General features: G+C 42.7%; 1 protein-coding gene across 2 annotated transcripts in view; it reads left to right on the top strand.

Moving 5' to 3' along the window:
* The window catches only part of CHSY1 (chondroitin sulfate synthase 1), a 76,322-nt gene that overhangs the window by 15,728 nt on the left and 39,146 nt on the right, over nucleotides 1-21,448 (top strand). The window contains exons 2-3 of one of the 2 annotated variants that reach the window (XM_011521364.3): nucleotides 744-1,239; nucleotides 18,113-18,196. In XM_011521364.3, coding sequence (XP_011519666.1) covers nucleotides 744-1,239; nucleotides 18,113-18,196 — 580 coding nt within the window. The remainder of the gene's footprint in view (nucleotides 1-743; nucleotides 1,240-18,112; nucleotides 18,197-21,448) is intronic. The other variant, NM_014918.5, reaches the window with a different exon arrangement.

The raw sequence follows: 21,448 nt of genomic DNA, 5'->3' as shown, positions 1-21,448 counted from the left end.
CCTGGGTCCCTCCCGCAACATGTGGGAACTGTGGGAGCTATCATTCAAGATGAGATTTGGGTGGGGACACAGCCAAACCGTATCAGCCTTCTTCCTCGCCTCATGACAGCGCTCTCGTGCCCTGCATTCCTTGATGTTTACCCTGTTTCAGGGGAAGGCTCCCTGTTCTGTTGGTTCAGCTCATGTCCTGTGCTCTGCCCTTTGGGAGTACTTCTCTTAGTTCATAATAATATATACATTAGTCTCATTATTCTGGTAAGTGTCTGTCTCTCCTGATGTCCTCTCTGTGAGTTGGGGATCACGTTTTTGTTCACCACCACATCCCTTTAGCTTAGCACATACTTGGCACTTGGTTCAAAGAAAATTTTTTGAGTGAACCATTTGATTTTGTTTTTTGTTTTATAGAGTTGAGAAGTTCTTAGGTAGGGAGTTGATAGTATCACAAAATTAATCTGTATACCCAGACCTTGGTCCCCTGGCAGTTTGGTTTTCAGCCATAACTAAAACTTAGTTATCCCAGAACAGTTTTAACACTTCTTCATTTTTTGTTGGGGTTCTTTTGAAAGTTAATTTAGACTTTGCAATACGCGGTAACCTGGGCTTTCGTTAAGAGGAACCAAGCAGGCCAAGTAGCTTTTTATCATTCCATTGAACACGGCGATACAAGATGAGCAGATAACGTGAATTCCTGAAAATCAGCTTGGAATAAACTGTTCTCTAACTGATATTTATTTTAATTCCAGAACATGGTCCAAGACAATTCCTGGGAAAGTTCAGTTCTTCTCAAGTGAGGGTTCTGACACATCTGTACCAATTCCAGTAGTGCCACTACGGGGTGTGGACGACTCCTACCCGCCCCAGAAGAAGTCCTTCATGATGCTCAAGTACATGCACGACCACTACTTGGACAAGTATGAATGGTTTATGAGAGCAGATGATGACGTGTACATCAAAGGAGACCGTCTGGAGAACTTCCTGAGGAGTTTGAACAGCAGCGAGCCCCTCTTTCTTGGGCAGACAGGCCTGGGCACCACGGAAGAAATGGGAAAACTGGCCCTGGAGCCTGGTGAGAACTTCTGCATGGGGGGGCCTGGCGTGATCATGAGCCGGGAGGTGCTTCGGAGAATGGTGCCGCACATTGGCAAGTGTCTCCGGGAGATGTACACCACCCATGAGGACGTGGAGGTGGGAAGGTGTGTCCGGAGGTTTGCAGGGGTGCAGTGTGTCTGGTCTTATGAGGTAAGAACAGAATTCTTTACCATGGGAAAAACTTAATTTTGTCAATTTTGTCATTAGTTCTGAGCGTATCATAGGAAACTAGAGATGATATCCTCTTTGAGGGTTGAAGTTGGTATTATTCTACATTTTTAGCCTTAGATTAAAAAAAAAATTCAGTTCCCCTTTATTACCTTTTCTTGGCTTTGAGCGCATATCTTCTGTACTTTTTCTCCCCCCAGAGAGAGTCTTGCTCTGTCTCCCAGGCTGGAGTGCAGTGGCGCCATCTCGGCTCACTTTAACCTCCGCCTCCTGGGTTCAAGCAATTCTCCTGCCTCAGCCTCCCGAGTAGCTAGGATTATAGGCAGGCGCCACCACGCTAGGCTAATTTCTGTATTCTTAGTAGAGACGAGGTTTCACCATGCTGGCCAGGCTGGTCTCGAACTCTTGACCTTGTGATCTGCCTGCCTCAGCCTCCCAAAATGCTGGGATTACAGGCGTGAGCCACGGCGCCCGGCTCTTCCATACTTTTGTCCTAATACTTAGTTAATAAATAATGGCATTTGGGGCCTAAAGAAAAGATAATGGGTTGCTGATGGTCATGGTGATATTTTCTTGATTATCCAGAAAATCATCTTGTCTGACTTCTGCTGATTCCACAGATGTAATTGCAAGAATGTAGGATATCTCCCTATTTGTTTTTGCAAAGGCCTGGCTCTTCTCTTCTGGTCATAATGACCTACACAGATTAGAAACTTAACGTGTTTTGAATTTATAAAAGGAATCATGGTATAAAAAAGCCAATAGCATTTGACTTCGCATTTGTTGTGTACCTTGACTGTTCAGATAGTTACTTTAATCTGTGAGTTTATAATATAGTTGTTGCTTTCAGAATAGTTGTCGTGCAACTTCTGAGTTACCGTGACACATAAATGAAATTTGCCGAAGGAAGTCCGCTTGTAGATGTTTTCTCTGTAGCAGTTGTAGAGAAGATGGACTGGCTTTGGACTTTCCTGTGTTGTTGCTGCACCCTTTGCCTGCAGATTGCACAATCTGATACCAGTTAATGGTGAAAAAAATTATTGAGGTTGTATTGTCTTTAGGTTGATAAACTCCTGGCAGTTGTGAGGAGCAGAGGTAATTGCTAGATCTTTTGCCCAAGAAAAAGAATACACTTTCTAATATGAACTGTTAGCTTTTTTCTGAACTAATGTTCTAAAGCACGTACTTGAGTGAAAGAGCAGTATTCTTGCCTGTACTTGTCCACCCCTAGACTTGCTTTTAAATGTCTGCTAATCACTCTTACTTTTTTTGTTGTTTGAACTTTAGGGAAGTGGACATTTTCAAGCATACAGGGAGTGGCCATGTAATTTTTAATTACAAAGTCACAAAGATACATTTTAAATCCTAAATGTGATCTTGAGTGAACTCTTCAATCCCTGTGTGCCTTATACTATCCCCCCAACCCCAGCACATAGGGGACAGCTCACTGGGCCTACGGGATCTCTCTGTCGTCACGGATTTTTGCAGCGAGGAAAGCTGTTTGAGGGTTTCACGCTGTTTTAAGCAGAATACAGCTGGCAATATTTCTGCATTTTTCCCCATCCTAAGAAAGTAGTTATAACCTTGACACATTTCATTATGGTTAAAATAGGTAACACATTGTATATTTTGGAACACTTTCCCCTGACCATCATCTCCGAGAAGCCAACCTTCTTGCCGGAATCATAGAGGACAGACCTTCTTTCGGGAGAGAATTTTTAAAAGTATGTCTTAGTTAGGTCGTGCTGTTATATACTGCTGGACAGACACCAACAGAGCCAGTCTCTTGAGTTTGATCAAGAACTTGGGTTTAGCGTTAGTGCCAAGAGGTAGTTAGAAAGTGTCATCCTGGGGCTGCAGGGTGGGAGGCCATTTTGGAGATGATTTTCCTCTGACGGGAGGTAATCACAAAAGGTTTCTGATGGCCTGCGAAGGGGTGCATGGAATGATCCTGTCTGGACACTTGGAGCCCCCTCTGAGGCTTGGTGCATCCTGTCAGTGGCCTCATCAGCTGAAGGGACCTGGTTGGTGAGGAGGCCTCCTCCCCGTGTGGTCCCGTCTCCCTGCCTTGGGAGGTGGGTCAGGGACAGCAGCAGCAAGGCTCTCCTTGGGAGTGTGGTTATTGGGCCTGCTGCTGCTCTGCGTTTCTTTAAATGCCCTGTGGTGTCAGAGCTTTGACTGACTGCTGCAGGCTTCTCCTGGGCTTGTGCCACAGGGCCCTCCCACCTGCAGTGCCCAGAGCTCTCTTTTTCTCTTCTGTGAGCTGCCTTGCCTGTTCGTAGTCTTGGCCCGTATTTCTGCTGAAATGTTGTCTTACAGTTTTGTTGAAGTGCTTTATTCTGGATAGAGTATCTTTTCTCAGACTGTGACTTAACTTTTCACCTTAATTGTGGGATTTTTATTGTACGCAAATTGTGAATCTAAGTGCAATCTAATGCATCATTCTTTTCCATTACGGTTTGTGCTTTTGTGTTTAAGAAATTCTTCCCTTCCTTAGGTCACGAATATGTTTTCTCCTGTATGTTTTCTTACATGTTTGAAGTGTTCCCTTTCACGTGTAGTTCTTCATTATAATGTTAAGAATTCATCTATTGGAACACTTGCCATCTTATTAGACCTTTGATTTCTATTTTTTTATTTTTCTTTTTATAAAGCTTTAAGTGCTTCTAACCTAAGTTGTTATTAGGTTTATCATTGTGTTCACCACTCAGGTAAGATTAATCCTTCGTGTGGATGAGGAACTTTTATTAAACTTCCTGTAAATCTAGTTTCCCCATTAAGGTTCACATTATGGGAAATTATTGAGGTGGAGTCTTATGTTAAAGACAATTACGTTAAGCTTTGGGACTTGGAAGGTACTTATTTTGCCCTATTATAAGCCTAGCCAGAAGGTATAGTGTTTTTTTTGGCGAGTAGAAATAGTACCTTGGGATGACACTTAGGTAATTAAAATGACTTGTGAGGAACAACTGTCAAAATCAAAGTCTAGATTCATTTCTAAACTTGTTTTGATAATTATTGGTGGTTATTAAAAAATAGCCTTGAGAACTTTGTTTGGAAATAATGTTAAACTCACAGAGAAGTCAGAGGATAGTGAGAGTGTAGGCCTGGAGGCTGGGGAAGAGCTGGGAGGAGCTCAGCTCCTGGCTCCCCTTGCCACATGGTGTCAGCAATATTGACTCAACTCAGGTGAGGTGTTTTTGAGAATTATTATTGAAAATTTTGAAATAGGAATTCATTTTATCAAGGCAAATACATGAAAAGCTATACTACTCTTAAGAGGGAACAAAAAGAAAATTGACTTAAGTAACCTATTCATTTTGTCTTTGACTTTTGCTTCGACGTGTACTGTACGTATGGAAAAGTGCATAGGTCGCAAGGGTCAAGCCCAGTGGATTTTCACAGACTGCACGCAGGCAACCAGTAGATCTTTCTTCTATTATTTTCTCATATTTGACTAGGGGTGAAGCTGTAGACAGTAATGATTATTGATGAAATTTGGAGATAGGCAAAGGTGGATTTGACAGCTTTAAAATATTAATTGTTTTTAATAGCCAATACTGTCACGTGGCTCAAAATTCAGAAGTGCAAAGGGCTTATAGGAATACGTCTTCCTTCCTCTGCCTCCGGCCCCTGGGCTTCCGCTGTGAATTAGCCATCATGGTGCCTCAGGTTTCCTGCGTATCATATCATATACAAACAATTAAGTTTCTACTTCTCTCCCCGTTTACATGAATGGTAGCGTAATACCTACCATCTATGTCTTGGAAGATTTCCCATTTGGTAAATAAAAGAACTTCGTCTTTTTGATGGACGTTCGGGCTATTTCCAGTTCTTTCGGCAGTGTTTCTAGGCGGTCATTTAGCCCAAGGCTCCCCAATCTTTTTCACATCTTGACATTGACTCAATTCACTCACGCTGAGGAGCCTGCCTCCAAGGGCTGCTGTTACCCCAATCCCTAGCTCCTGTCCCCTCCACCACCCCTACAGCCCCATACCACTCTAGGCCTGGAAGGATTGTTATCTGGGCACACATGGAACTTGTTCATGTTACACCCGCACACCAAAATACACCAGTTATGAAGCTCTGAGTTAGCCAGTAAGTACTTGTTAAGGGTTCATTAATGAGCCCAGAACTGCCCTCTGAATTGGTAGGGAAATTGCAAAAGATTGAAACATGAATGGCCACCTTTTTCTCCCTCAAGGACTTCAGAGTAGTTGAGGAGACAAAGACCATATGTTCATGAACCAGTTGAAAAGAAATTAAAAATATGAAACCTGTGATACTGATTTTAAATATAAAACAGTACAGGGAAGGCTGAAATGGATAATGTTCTTTTTATGAGGAGGCATATATCATCAAGGGAAATTGGAGTTTGCAGCAAAATGTGTAAAAAGATAAAATCTTCCTTGTTAGTCTGTCTCATAAAGGAATGTTGAACATCCATATACCAGAAGCCTGGGGTATTTTTCACTTTAATAATAGAAGAAATAATGTTTCTTTTTTTAAAAAAAATTCACACATTATAATTGTACATATTTATGGAGTATGGTTTAATGTATTCATGTATATGTTGTATAAGGATCAAATCAGGAAGGTTGACATGTCCATCACCTCATGAGAGGTTTTTGAATGTTCTCTCCACAAAGAAATAATTTTTCTTGACTTTGGGTTGTCACAGAGATGATTTGTGTTCCAGTAGTTCCTTCCTCACTCATTTAGGCTGCCCGTTAAACTCGCAGGCCTGAGAACCAGGCAGACCCTCAGTGGCTAGATGTCCCAAAGAGTGAGCACTAATGCTGCATGTTCTATCCATTATCAAAAGTAGGGTATTAGGGCCGGGCGTGGCGGCTCAGCACTTTGGGAGGCCAGGGTGGGTGGATCACCTGAGGTCAGGAGTTCAAGACCAGCCTGGCCAACATGGTGAAACCTCGTCTCTACTAAAAATACAAAAATTAGCCGGGCATGGTGGCGGGCGCCTGTAGTCCTAGTTACTCTGGAGGCTGAGGCAGGAGAATCACTTGAACCTGGGGAGCAGAGGTTGAAGTGAGCCGAGATCACGCCACTTCACTCCAGCCTGGGCAAAGAGCAAAACTCCGTCTCAAAAAAAAAAAAAAGTGGGATATTGAAGTCTCTAATATCATCATTATTATTTTTGAGGCAGAGTCTCGCTCTGTCACCCAGGCTGGAGTGCAGTGGCATGACCTCAGCTCACTGCAACCTCTGCCTCCTCGGTTCAAGCGATTCTCAGGCCTCAGTCTCCTGAGTACCTGGGATTACAGGAGTATGCCACCATGCCCAGCTAAATTTTGTATTTTTATTAGGGATGGGGTTTCACCATGTTAACCAGGCTGGTCTTGAACTCCTGGCCTCAAGTGATCTGCCTGCTTCAGCCTCCCAAAATGCTGGGATCACAAGTGTGAGCCACTGTACCTAGTCAGAAGTCTCTAATGTTATTGTTGAATTCTCTATTTCTTCCTTCAGTTCTGTCAGGTTTTTCTCCTTTTATTTCAGGGCTGTGTTTTGGGATGTATATATGTTTATATTTGTTATACCTGTTTGATGGATAGACACTTTTATCATTATAAAATTCCTTCTTTGTTTCTAGTAACAATTTTTGTCTGAAGTCTGTTTTGTCTGATATTAGTATGATGACTCCAGCTCTCTTGGTTACCATTTGCATGGTATATCTTTTTTCATCCTTTTACTTTCAACTTGTTTGTGTCTTTGAATGTAAAGTGTGTCTCTCATGAAGACAGCATATAGTTGGATCATTTAAAAAATGCATTCTGCCAATATTGCCTCATAATTGGAGTATTTAATTAATTTGCATTTAATATAATTACTGATAGAGGAGGACTTATCTCTGCCATTTTGCTGTTTTCTGTATGTCATATCTTTGTTTTTCTGTTACTCCAGTACTACCTTTTTTATTACCTAGTGTACCATTGTAATTCCCTTGTCATTTCTTTTACTGTATTTTTTAGTAGTCGCCTTGGGGATGAACATCTTACCTGATAATTTAGTTCTGATGAATACCAACTTAATAACAGTAGTAAACACAAGATTTGCTCATGTGTAGCTGTGTTGTCTCCTCCCTTTGTGCTGTTGTTGTCAAATAAATTATATCTTTATACGTTGTATGCCAGTCAACAGAGATTTATAATAATTGCTTTATGTACTTATCTTTTAAATCAGATCAGAGAAAAAAGGAATTACAAATAAAAAATACATTTATACCCTTTTTTACCTATGTAGTTACCCTTATGGGGCTTCTTATTCATGCCTATTTGAGTTACTGTATAATGTTCTTTCATTTCAGCTTGAAAGACTTCCTTTAATATTTTTCATAGAGCAAGTTTGCTAGAGATGAATTCCTTTTGTTTCTCTTGGAATGTCCTAATTTCTCCTTCACTTTTTTCCTAATTTCTCCTCCACTTTTAAAGGACATCTTTCTTGGATATAGAATTCTTAGTTGCCAATCTTTTTTTCTTTTATCACTTTGAATGGATGCTTTCTGGCCTTCATGGTTTCTGATAAGAAATCAGTTGTTAATCTTATTGAGGATCCTTTGTATGTCATGAGTTGCTTTTCTTGCTACTCTTAAGATTCTCTTTGGCTTTTAACAGTTTGATTAGGATGTGTCTAGGTGATCCCTTTGAGTTTATCATACTTGGAGTTTGTTGTGTCTCTTGGTTATGTGGCTTGTTTTTCATCAAATTTGGAGATTTTTCACTTATTATTTCTTGAGTATTTCTGCCCCTTTCTCTCTGTTTCTGTTTTCCTTTGGAATGCCCGTCATGCTGTGTTCTACTCATTTTTACTCCTGTTTTCTTTCTCTTTCTCACACTAGATAATTGCAATGGCCTACTTTCAGTTTCATGGATTCTTTCCTCTGCCTGTTCAACTCTGTTGTGATATTTTCATTTCAGATATTGTACTTTTCAACTCCATAATTTCTGTTTGGCTCATTAAAAATACAAATAATTTCTGTCGCCGTATTGGCTGCTTTTTCCGCCTTTGTATGGGCCATACTTTCTTGTTTCTTTGATACCTCATAATTTTTTTTTTTTGGAAACTAGACATTTACTTACTATTATTTAAATGTGACAACTCTTGAAATCTACCCCTTCAGGGATGTTATTGCTGGGTTTTGTTGTTTGTTTAGTGTCTTTTCAGAACCAGTTCCGTACAGTGTATTTTTTTTGTATGTGGCCACGGAAGTCTCTACATGATTTGCTTAGTGCTTAGCTAATGACTGGACAGAGATTTCCTTAGATGCCTGGAACTAAAAAGTTATTGGCTCTTTGCTGAGGGTCTCTTGTATACCTGTTGGTGCTTGCCCTGAACACTCAGCAGGCATTTGACAACCCTGCCTTAAACTTCACTTAACTACTTAACTTGCTTGTACAGAGAGCTTAGGGCCTTCTTGGGTCTTTGCTGAACATGCACACACTCCCACACATGCGTGTGGCCTTGTAGATTCCCAGGAGTAATATATTGAAGCTTTTTCAAAACCCCATATTGCATCTTATTCCCTGCTTTTCTTTTTAAGCTTTTTATTTAGCCTGTTTTTTTGTTTGTTTGTTCCCCCCACACACTGCGTGTATGGTTAGCCATCCCCTTGGGCAGTGCTGCATTCAACAATTGCCTGTGATTGTTTTTGACCAGCCCCCTATCCCCTTCCAAGAAGGTGTTTGCAATAGGAAAATTCTGAGTCAGGTCAAATAAAGACAACATTGCAAGGTCTTCCAGGGAACCACCAGATAGGTCAGATAATGACAGTTCTTTGGGAATGGGGCTTTGAAGGAGCTCCAGCCCCTCTTTGACCCCTCTAATGGCTTCCAAGCTGCTGGTTTTTGCTGTGATTGTAGACTGTTGTTTTTCAAGGCTAGGGTAGAAAACAGACTGGAAATAGGGCAAATTAAAATGCCACCAAGCTTACTGTTACCAAAATTTTTGTCTTTTTCTTGCATAAATACTGTCTGGATTACTGCAAATCTTTAATATCCAGAGTCCTGGAAAGGCTGCCTCTGCCCATTTTTGTCAGTGTTCGCTTTACTTTCAGGGCAGACAGGATTTTTGGAGGTCTTCACTCTGCCATTTTCACTGATGTCACCTAAAAGCATCTGTTATGGGGACTTAGCTCCACAGCTTAAATTTTGCTTTTTATAATTAGATGAATTACGCTGAGTGTCGCCTTATACTCTGTTTAAGAAGTCAGGGTATTGTGCTCTAAAAATTAGAAAGACTTCCAACCAATTAGTTACAATATTCACATACATTCATTTCAAAAATAAATTTTGGACATCTGTAGCAAGACACTGTGCTAGCTGGGGACACAACAGTGCAGAAAGCCAAGACCATGGTCTCATATGCTGGTGGAGCGAGGTGGGGTGCAGTGAGAGACAGTGCAGAGGAGTATGTGTGGTAAGTTTAGGACATAGCACAGTGGCCAGCATGAGTGGAGTGACGAGGCAGAGTGGGGCGAAGGGTAAGGCCAGATGGCATCAGAGTTGAGGGGAGGCAGGGAATGCTGAGGACATTGGTTTGGGCACAAATAGGCCTGACTTGAATCATGGTGCTTCATTCAGCTTTGTTCTTCACTAGCTGTGTGGTCTTGGGCAGCGAGTTACCTGACTCCCCTGAACCTTAATTTCCTTAAAGATGGGGTGAGGGTAAAAATTGTCTACGTTATAGGGTGGTTCCAAGGATAAATTGAGTTGATGCATGTTACCTATTACCATAGCTCATGTTTGGGACAGGTGAGTGCTTGCTTGTGAAATGTGAGGGCTACCGGAAACTATCCTCAAGTATCTGAAAAGCAAAGCCCTTCAGAACTCATTCCCTGAGACCACCACATAGATTTTGATCTATGTAAACAAATACTTGAATATGCTTTGTAGTAACATTGTAGTCTTGGAATCTCATGTTTTTGTTTTTACAATTTAGGGAAGACTATTTTGACAGAACCAATCATAGTTTACCTAAAATGGATGTGTTAGTTGCTTTGGATCTGTGATTATTTTGTTGGCAAAACAAACCTTCTCCAGGTACATGAACATCTCTGAAATGGTTCCACCATTGGGTATATCAGAGTCCTGTGATTGTGAGAGCCTGTTAGCACACTCTCAGGAGGTGGGATCGACATATCGTTTTCTTTATCTTAAGACATAGCACAGTGGCATTTCCTGTATACATTTGAAGAGATTGAGATCACAGCTGTTATCACCTCAATTCCCATAATAGAACTGGCGTGTTAGTCCGTTCTCACACGGCTATAAGGAAATACCTGAGACTGGGTAATTTATAAAGAAAAGAGGTTTAATTGGCTGGTGGTTCAGTAAGCACAGGCATGTGCTTGGCTTCTGGGAGGCTTCAGGGAGCTTTTACTCATGGTGGAAGGCAAAGCGGGAGTCGACATCTCACATGGCACAAGTGGGAGCAAGGGGAGGGGGGTGGTACACATGTTTAAACAACCAGATCTTGAACTAACTCACTGTTAGGAGGACAGCACCACAGATAAACCATTCATGAGGGATCCACCCCCATGATCCAGTTCCTCCCACCAGGACCCACCTCCAACACTGGAGATTACATTTCAACATGAGATATGGGTGGGGACAAGTATCCAAACTATATCAACGGTAATCTGCCTTTTAAAACGTATATCAATATTCAAAGCATTTTGAAATAAGAATAAAACAAGGCTCAGCAGTGGCTCACGCCTGTAATCGCAGCACCAAGGTGGGAGAATCACTTGAGCCCAGGAGTTCAAGACCAGCCTGGGCAACATAGTAAGACCCTGTATCTGCCAAAAAAAAAAAAATCAGCTGGGTATTTTGTTGCACGCCTGTGGTCCTAGCTACTTTGGAGGTGAGGTGGGAAGATGGCTTGAGCCTGGAAGGTTGAGGCTGCAGGGAGCTGTGACTGTGCCACTGCACACCAAGGCAGAATACTGTAAGCTGTATGGGAAAGCACAGGGTGGGTGCCTGGATCAATTAGAGCAGGCAGGATGAGTTGGGGAGCGGTGGGAGGCACTCTCGTTGCCTGGGCCACGCCCTTCTGTAAAGGTGACTGGGTTTCTGGACTGTTCCAACCAATCACGAAGGCATCCTTTCACATTTTTAAGAGGTCTTAAGATGGCATCATCGAAGCTTTTGAGTCTTTAGTTCTAACATTTAATCATCTTTATTGAACTAATAAGAGTCTGGTGTTTGAAAAGGAACAGGTGAGGGAACAGAGGTGCAGCTGCATCTGGTGGTGGCAGTGTTGTTCACCTCAGGCGGTGTTGTCTGGGATAGGAAAGTCGGAGGTGAAGTGTAAGGTTTAGAAGTGTAAGCGTGTGTGTGGACGTGAAGTATTAGCATTGCCTGTGGGTCTTAGACCAGGTGGGAGTTTCTCAGAGGCAGACCGTCTGCAAGAGAATCCCTTGAGGTGCTTGCTGATGGGCACATTTCTAGGCCCCAGACTTGGCAGGTGGAGTCCAGTGATCTGCGCTGTTGACAGGCTTCTCTGGTGAATCTTACACTTGCTAGTGTTTAAGAACCGTCATTGCCATTTATACTCTTAAAACATTTCTTATGATTTAGTGATGTTATGGATGTGTGGGAACTGAAGTTATGTTTTTGTTAATTGACATCATCCCATTTAGCCCTGGGTCTTTCTAGTAAGTAACTTTTATAAAGTCAGGTTAGTGGGAGGCCAGACTTGGCACACAAATGCCCCCAGTCATATGTTTGATAGGTTAATGTTTTATATATATGTATTCTTTTCCTTTCTTCTCTCCTCTGAGCCATGTTACTGGCAATGAGTTGTATAACCAGATGCAGTAATGTGTTACTTAATGACAGGGATGCATTCTGAAAAGTATATCCTCAGGTGATTTTGTTGTATAAACATCATAGAGAGCACTTACACAAGCCTAGATGGTACAGCCTCCAACACACCTAGGCTGTATGGTGTAGCCTGCGGCTCCTAGGCTACAAACCTGTACAGCATGTTACTGTGCTGAATACTGTAGGCAACTGTAAGACAATGGTAAGTGTTTGTATTTCTAAACATATCACAACATATGAAAGGTACAGTGAAAATAAGGTATTACAATCTTACGGGACCACAGTCTAAGGGGTCAGTTGTTGACTGAGACATCGTTACAGGGGCCAGGACTGTAAAAGTGGGCAGATGATCAGCACTAAATCCTGAGTCCCAGTGTGGAAGTCCTCTGTAGTAGACGAGGCCTGAGTCCCAGTGTGGAAGTCCTCTGTAGTAGACGAGGCCTGAGTCCCAGTGTGGAAGTCCTTTGTAGTAGACGAGGCCTGAGTCCCAGTGTGGAAGTCCTCTGTAGTAGACGAGGCCTGAGTCCCAGTGTGGAAGTCCTCTGTAGTAGACGAGGCCTGAGTCCCAGTGTGGAAGTCCTCTGTAGTAGACGAGGCCTGAGTCCCAGTGTGGAAGTCCTCTGTAGTAGACGAGGCCTGAGTCCCAGTGTGGAAGTCCTCTGTAGTAGACGAGGCCTGAGTCCCAGTGTGGAAGTACTCTGTAGTAGATGAGATGATGAAAACAAAGGACTTTTGGCAGGGGGTTAAACTGACAAACATCTTAAAGCTAAAACTATAAGATATTTTAAAGCATCTTTTGTTTCTGTAATTGATGATTTCACACATGTTCATGTGGTCTGGTTATAAGCCTTCTTAAGCCTCAGCTTTTGTTAGTTGCCATGAACTGTAACTCCGGATTTATTTATCAAACAAATTATAGTTTAAACAAAGTAGTTGGCCGGGCATGGTGGCTCATGTCATCCTAGCACTTTGGGAGGCCAAGGTGGGTGGATCACCTGAGATCAGGAGTTCGGGACCAGCCTGGCCAACATGGCAAAACCCTGTCTCTACTAAAAATACAAAAAATTAGCCGGGCGTGGTGGTGGGTGCCTGTAATCCCAGCTGCTCGGGAGGCTGAGGCAGGAAAATCACTTGAACCTGGGGGGCAGAGGTTGAAGTGAGCCCAGACAGCGCCACTGCACTACAGCCTGGGCAAAGAGCAAAACTCTGTCTCAAATAAAGTAGTTAACAAAGTATTTGTTAGTCACTGTGGTGGTTTTTATGCTCATTTTAAAGTCTTTGATAATCTTCCTCCTGGAAGTGGAGCTTAATTTCCCTCCTCTTGACTGTGGAGGGACAGGGTGACTCGAGGCTCCTGAATGGAGTGGAGAATAGGAATCTGGTGGACACCACCTTGACATCACAGGAGTGGGTCACATTTGTGTCAGGTACCCCCCCCACCATGATGGCATGAGAAAGACACATCAGCTCTGCATAGTCTTCCCCAAATCCACAACCCCAGTTTAATCGGAGAAAACTTCAGACAAAACCAAGGGGTGGGATTTTCCGCAAGATACTTGACCCGTGTTCTTCAAAAGTGTCAGGTCAGGAAAAGCAAGGAAAGACCGGGAAACTGTCAGGCTAGAGGTGACCAAGGAGGTGGGATTACTAAATGTACTGTGGGGCCCTAGATTGGAAGAGAAAAAGGACATTAGTGGGAAAACTGGTGAAATCTGAATAAAGTCTGCACTCTAGGTAATAGTGTATACATGTATCAGTTTCTTAGTTTTGCTCTGTGTAGCATAGTCAAGTGGGATGTTAACATCAGAAGAAGCGGGGTGAAGCTGTGGGAACTGTCTCTGCCATCTTTACAATTCTTCTTTAAATCCAAAATTGTCTTGAAGTACAAAGTGGCTAGAACCAAGAGATAATTGGACACAAAAATGATGTCGCTGTCTCTGCCTCTGTATCCTGATGGCTTCTCCATGCCAAGGGGAAACTAGGCAAAGCAATAGAAGACTAGATCCTCTGTGACTCTAAGTGGATATTGTGCAGGATGTGATTTTTAGCTTATTGACTTCTAAGAACTCTGAGACAGAAAGGTCTTTGTGTGTGAGGGCTGTAGACTTCTAACCCTTACAAAGAGCTTATCAGTTGAGCAAGCTTATAATGTGCTGTGTTATTACTGTAAAAAATTTGTAATGGTACCATTACAGCAAAATGTTTCCCTGGCTAAAAAGATCTTTCAGCGTTCACTCAGCAATTTAACGCTCGGGCTTGCTGACATCATCTTGGTTAACCCTGTAGTGCTTGGCTTCTGTGTTTTCTCTCATTGAACTCTGGCAGGGATTTTAAAAAAAAAAAGTACAAAGCTATTTTCTTGGATGTCTAGCAATTACTTCCACAGCCTTTTCTTAAGAAACAAACAAAAAAACTCCCTGTGACAGAAAAATACTATAGGTGCTAGTTTTTCTTTCACATAGTTAACATGTCTGTGCCGTCTCCTGGAACAGGTACACTGGTTTTAAAGACACAACTTTTATTTAAAATGATGTGGTTTATTTAAGGCAGAAAGTTGAGTACGGTTTCATTTATTTTTACCACCTGAGGAATGCTTGTTTACTTTTTAGGTGCTTATATATTGATTCTGTAATAATTTAGAATTCTGGTTACTTTATTAGGGTAAAGTGAGCATGGATATTGAATATCCCAGATAATACAAACTTAATTTTTAAAACTTTGTTTATATATATAGAGAGAGGGAGAGAGAGAGACACTCTCAACCTGTCACCCAAACTAGTGTGCAGTGGGGCAAGCTTGGCTCCTCCCGGGTTCAAGAGATTCTTGTGCCCCAGCGTCCTGAGTAGCTGGAATTACAGGTACACCCCAGCACACCTGGCTAATTGTTGTTGTTGTTAGTAGAGAGGATTTTGCCACGTTGGCCAGGCTGTTCTTGAACTTCTGATCTCAAGTGATCCGCCCACCTCGGCCTTCCAGAGTGCTGGGATTACAGGCGTGAGCCACCGCACCCGGCCTGTTAATATATATTTTTAAAAATTTGTCTGCGTACCTGCGTGTGACAGGCCCTGCTATAGGCATAGGGGCTGCCACAGTGAACACAGCAAAGCTCCTATTCTCTCAATGCATTTGTTTCTCTATGGGGATGTCCGAAAATAAGGAGACAAATAAATAAATAATGGCAGGTGGCACTGAGTCTGAAGCAATACAGGCATGATAAGGCGGCCGACTGATGGAGGGACAGGGCTGCTCGCAGGTGGCACTGAGTCTGAAGCAATACAAGCATGATAAGGCGGTCGACTGATGGAGGGACGGGGCTGCTCGTCCAGCTGAGAGAGTGAGAGGCAAACCATGGTCATATCTGGGAAAGGACGTTTTGAGCAGTTCAAACAGAGGGAATGGGCATGCGGAGGCCCTGAGGCAGTGATTACGTCCATGACTGAGAAAACACGGAAGCTGAGTTAGAGCACGTGAGTGAGAGGGGCAGCGTCCTGTGAGGCCTGTCCCCTTCTGTGATAAGAACATTGAGGGTTACAGTCAGTGAGCTGAGAGGGCCCTGAGAGTTGGGGCAGACGAGCCTCCATTTCCAGAGGGTCCCTCTGCTCTGCTCATGGAGAGGCAGCTGCAGAGTTGCAGCAGGGAGGTTGGTTGGCAGGCATGCTGATACATCTGCGAAGAGGTGAGGGGAAGTGACTGGGACCAGGTGACTGGTGAGAAGTGGTGGATAAATGGATAAATTTTGCAGGTAGAGTTGATAGGATGTGGGGAGAGAGACAGGTTGCCTGAGCAGTTGAATTCCCAGGGAACTCACAGGGATAGGGTTCCTGGTAAAGGGGAAGACTGGGGAAGTTCAGGCTTGATATACAAATACCATCTGCAGCATATTGATGGTATTTAAGTACACGGGCAGTTAGGGAGATAGAGGCAGGGTCTGAGGGCTGAGCCTTGAGGCTCCAGTGGGTTAGAGGTCAGAGGTGAGGGGGCACCAGCTGAGGAGACTGAGCAGGGAGGCCAATGAAATAGGAGGAAACTTTGATTTACGTTTGCTTAGTTTGCACTTGGAATGCTTGAACACTCACTGTTTGGGTACTTATTACATTAATAGTTGACTTGGATGGCAGGTATTTGGGAGATTCTTATCAAAAGTGAATATTATGTTTAAAAAGAGAATCCTAGGCTGGGCACAGTGGCTCATGCTTATAATCCCAGCACTTTGGGAGGCCGAGGCAGGCGGATCCCCTGAGGTCAGGAGTTGAAGACCAGCCTGGCCAACATGGAGAAACCCCCTCACAAAATTAGCCGGGCGTGGTGGCACATGCCTGTAATCCCAGCTACTTGGGAGGCTGAGGCAGGATAATTGCTTGAACTTGGGAGGTGGAGGTTGCTGTGAGCCAAGATCACGCCATTGCACTCCAGCCTGGGCAAAACGAGCGAAACTCCATCTCAAGAAAAACAAGAATCCTCTGGTATGGGTGGACAAGGATGGGGTATGTGCTGGTATAACAATGGGAAACTTTTTTCTCTGCTGATGACTGGTGTACGAGACAGTACTTGAAAAAAATCAACCTCAGTGGCAGCCTGAGAACCAGTGGACCACAGATGGTTGGTGGTCAGCACCTGGGCAGAGCTGAGTGGTGTTTGTTTGGAGAAGTAAGCTGTGGAGTGTGGGCCCTGTGTTACAGAGGTTTTATTTACCATGAAATTTGACGTTTGCTTGTGTTGATTTAAAAATGTATGATTTGTTTATTTTTAAAAAGATAATCCACCCCTCCCTACGTGGAACTGGATGCATCCTCGTGAAGCTGCTTTATACCTTTACCAACTGCATAGAAATCTACCAGGGCCTCAGCCTTTGTTTTGTCGTCTGCAGTCCATCAACTTTTAGAGACTGAATGCTGTTGATCACTTGGTGATCTAAGCCTTTCATAATACTTAAGATTTCTAACTGACACTTAACTTGGCAGAAATCACTATTAATTTCAGGAGGCAGTTATAATTGAACATTGATTCAGTTAAGCCTTTGTAATAAATAGATTTTTTTGGGGGTGGATGAGGTTTAAAGTTATCTTATTCTTTTGGTATAGAGAGAAACCCCATTTAAACTGCATTCTTCTAAGCCTCTGCTTCCGTTCTTCCCTAAAACAGGATTATTTAACCTTGTTCGAGGTTGTACTGCTTGTAGAGAGATAGATTCAGAGTTTTAATCCAGGCAGGCCGACTGGAGCCTGCAGTTTGAACTCTAATGATCACATTTTCTTTTTCTGTATGATACTGCACTATACCTTTTTATTGTAAATACCGCCAGTATTTGTTTGAAAAGAACCAATAAAGTTGAAATGTTGAGAATTTTTGACAAAGGGGAAATTTTCCTGGTTCTTACATTTCTTCATTTGGTGGGATACTTTTCGTATACTCATGTGTTTAACAGTCTATTCAAGTGACAGCTGTTGGGCCTCATAGAGGGGTTTGTTTTTGAGGCAGGGTCTTGCTCTGTCACCCTGGCTGGCATGGCTGTAGCTCAGTGCAGCCTCAAACTCTTGGGCTCAAACAATCTCCCACCTCAGCCTTCTGTTGGCATGAGCCACCACGCCCAGCCTGTTTTAACGTAAGTTTAACTTTAGGAGAGTTTTATTTATGCACTGCTGGAGTGCAGTGGCGCGATCTCAGCTCACTGCAACCTCCGCCTCCCAGGTTCAAGCGATTCTCCTGCATTCAAGTGATTCCCCACCTCAGCCTCCCTAGTAGCTGGGATACAGGCACACACCACCACAGCAGGCTAATTTTTTGTATTTTTAGTAGAGACGGGGTTTCACCATGTTGACCAGGCTGTTCTCAAACTCCTGACCTCAGGAGATCCACCTGCCTCAGCCTCCCAAAGGGCTGGGATTAACAGGCATGAGCCACTGTGCCCAGCTGGAGAGTTTTAGATTTACAGAAAAATTATAAAGATAAAAATCTATACTTTATTTAAATGTCCTTAGCTTTGACCTGCTGTCTTTTTTCTATTGTCATATCTCCAGGCTTCTCCTGTCGCCTGTCTGTGCCAGTGTCTTAGGCATTCCTTGTTTTTGATGATCTTGACGGTTTTGAGGAGTGCTAGTCAGGTATTTTGTAAAATTTTCCTCTATTCGGATTTGTCTGATGTTTTTCTCACAATTAGATTGGCGTTATGGATTTCTGAGGGGAAGACTGTAGAGATAAAATGCCATTTCCATCACATCATATCAAGGGTACGTACCGTCAGCATGGTTTATCGTTGTTGATGTTGACCTTGATCACTTGACTGAAGGGAGTGTCTGTCAGGTTTCTTCACTGCAGAGTTACCCTTTCCCCTCCTTTACATACTGTGCTCTTCAGGAGAAGGTCACTAATATGCAGCTCACACTTACGGGTGGGGAGTTACACTCTCCTTCCTTGAGGTTGGAATATCTATGTGATTTCTTCTGTTCAGGAGGGAAATTTGTCTGTTCTTCCTCATTTATTTGTTCAGTTATGTCAATATGGCCCCATGCGTATTTATATTTTGGATTATATACGCTTTTATTTTGTTGCTAAACTTGTTCCACCTTTGTCCACTGGGTGCTCTTTCAGTTGCTCGGTCCTCCCTCCCTCCATCCCTTCCTTCTGCACTCCTGCACCTCTTTGCTTTCTGGCACTAGAAGTTGCTCCAGGCTCATCTCGTGTATTTCCTGCCCAAGGCCTAGAATCAGCCATTTCTTCAAGGAATCGAGGCTCTTCTCTTGGAGAATGGTATTAGAAAGCAAGACTTGGGTGCTAGGTATGCTTGTTGCTATTGGGGTGTCACTTGCTTGGCCCCCTCAGATGACAGAACATGGAAATACCTATGTGTATACTAACCCATGTGTATACACATAATTATAAATATTTCTGTATGTGACGATCTGTATGTATATTAAGCTAAGCATGAATTGATAGCATGAATTGATAGTGATGTCTCCAGCTCTGATTATTACCATGTGGATCGTTCTAGCCTCCTTCTTTGCTAAACTGTAACCTCCCAAACAGTGAGAAACCTGGCTTTTACCACCCGCCATCCATTTACTTAATTCTGTAATTTCAGTGTACAAGCATAATGGTTTCAGAATTAACATATATCTCTTTGGGAAACAACTTCAGCAAATAGAGTACAGTGCTTATGTACATTTTCTTTTGCCTTTAGTCTTACAGTCTTCACTCATTCTCACAGTTACTTAGGTCAGCACCTTCTGCTCTGCCCACTTCAGTGAGATTGTCTCATACATTTGTAATGCAGTTAGATTGTTTTGTCACACTCTGCATTCCATCCTGGGACCCCCGCTCCTGACCTCCTAAATGATTTCGTAAAAATTTATATACATCCAGGTTAGCTCTTTGTGCTTTGTAAAGTTCATGGGTTTTGACAAATGCAGTGTTATGTGTCCACCATTACAGTATCATGCAGAATGGTTTCACTACCCTACAAATCCTTGTGTTTCACCTATTCAGTGCTTCTCCCTCCTTCCCAACTGCTAGGTCCTTGGCACCACTGATCTTTTTACTGTCTCCGTAGTTTTGCTTTTTCCAGGATGTCATATAATTGGAATCATACCATACATAGCTCTTTCATACTGGATTCTTTCACCTAGGAGTCTGCATCTAGGATTCATCCATGCCTCTGTGTGGCTTGATGGCTCACTTCTCTTTTAATCACTGAATATTATTCCATCGTACGGATGTACCATATCTGTTCACCCACTGAAAGACATTTGGTTTTCGGCGATTAGGAATAAAGCTGCTATAAACATTTGTGTGCATGTTTTTGTGGGGACATACATTTTTAAATCAGTTGGGTAAATATCTAGGAGTATGACTGCTGGATTGTATATAAGACTATGTTTAGCTTTGTAAGAAACTGCCAAACTTTCTTCCAGAGTGTCTGTAGCATTTTGCATTCCCAGCTGCAATGAACAAGAGCTCCTTCTGCTTTGCATCCTTTCCAGGACTGGGTGTTATCAGTGTTTTGGATTTTAACCATTCTAATAGTTATATAGCGGTGTCTCATTTTTGTTTTAGGAAGAGGTTTTTAATGCCTTCTTGATGGCTTAGTCCAGGCTGAGGTGCTTTTATTTGGTACTGTGTTTCTAGCTGTTTATAATTTGGGCAAGTTGCTCTTTCCATTTTTGTATTTTAATAATATTAAAGTTAGGCATGTTTACGCCTGACTAATGAGCATATGGAAAATTGTTGAAGTGATCTTCTCTGAGGTTGGGTTTGATTTTTTTAATGTTCTTTTTATGATTGTTCATGTGCCTCAGGCATCTAGAATATTAATAATATGGATTACTTAACCTTAATGGTAATGGCACAAGTTTTTAAGACAAGTCTGAACAACTTACAGAAGATTATCACATTCCATGTTTCCTACCTAGATGAATATTAACAAGCTGAAAAAGATCTTGAAGAGATGTACATGAATTGTTCATTCATTTGTTGATGAATTCGTATCTGATGATTTGAGACAGAGTCTCGATTTGTTGCCCAGGCTGGAGTGCAGCGGTGCAGTCTCAGCTCACTGCAGCCTCCACCTCCCAGGTTCAAGCGATTCTCCTGCCTCGGCCTCCTGGGTAGCCGGGACTACAGGCATGCACTACCACGCCTGGCTAATTTTTGTATTTTCAGTAGAGACGGGGTTTTGCCATGTTGGCCAGGCTGGTCTTGAACTGCTGACCTCAGGTGATCCACCCACATTGGCCTCCTCAGATGCTGGGATTACAGGCGTGAGCCACCACGCGTGGCCTATATTTAAAAATTATAGAAGATTCTATACCATAGCAACTCTGTGAAGGTCTTACTCAGTAGCTGTTAAACTTTGTATCCTACCCCTTCATCTTTTTATGGCCTTGAAAACTTAAGTTTGCTGTATCTGATGATGTAGGCTCATACTGATAGTATACCCTGGAAAACCTTTTAAGATTTTAAGCTCTGTAACTTACAGTCTTTATCTACTATTCTCAGATCTTTACACATTGTGTTGGTTCTCACATTGCTATAAAGAAATGCCCGAGACAGGGCAGTTTATAAAGAAAAGGTTTAATTGGCTCATGGTTCTGCAGGCAGTACAGGAAGTGTGATCCTGGCATCTGCTTGGCTTCTGGTGAAGACTCAGGAAACTTACAATCATGGTGGAAGGCAAAGTGGGGGCGAGGTGTCTCACATAGTGGGAGCAGAAGCAAGAGAAAGCGAAGGGAGGAGGTGCCGCACACTTTTAAAAAACGAGATCTTGCGAGAACTCACTGTCAAGAGAACAGCACCAAGGGGAGGTGCTAAACCTTATGCATGAGAAATCCACCTCCATGATCCAGCCACCTCCCACCTAT

Source organism: Homo sapiens, chromosome 15 (genome assembly GCF_000001405.40).
Source record: "Homo sapiens chromosome 15, GRCh38.p14 Primary Assembly".
NCBI lineage: Eukaryota > Metazoa > Chordata > Mammalia > Primates > Hominidae > Homo > Homo sapiens.
Note: the sequence above shows the minus strand (reverse complement) of the source record. Positions and strands in the feature narration are given on the sequence as shown.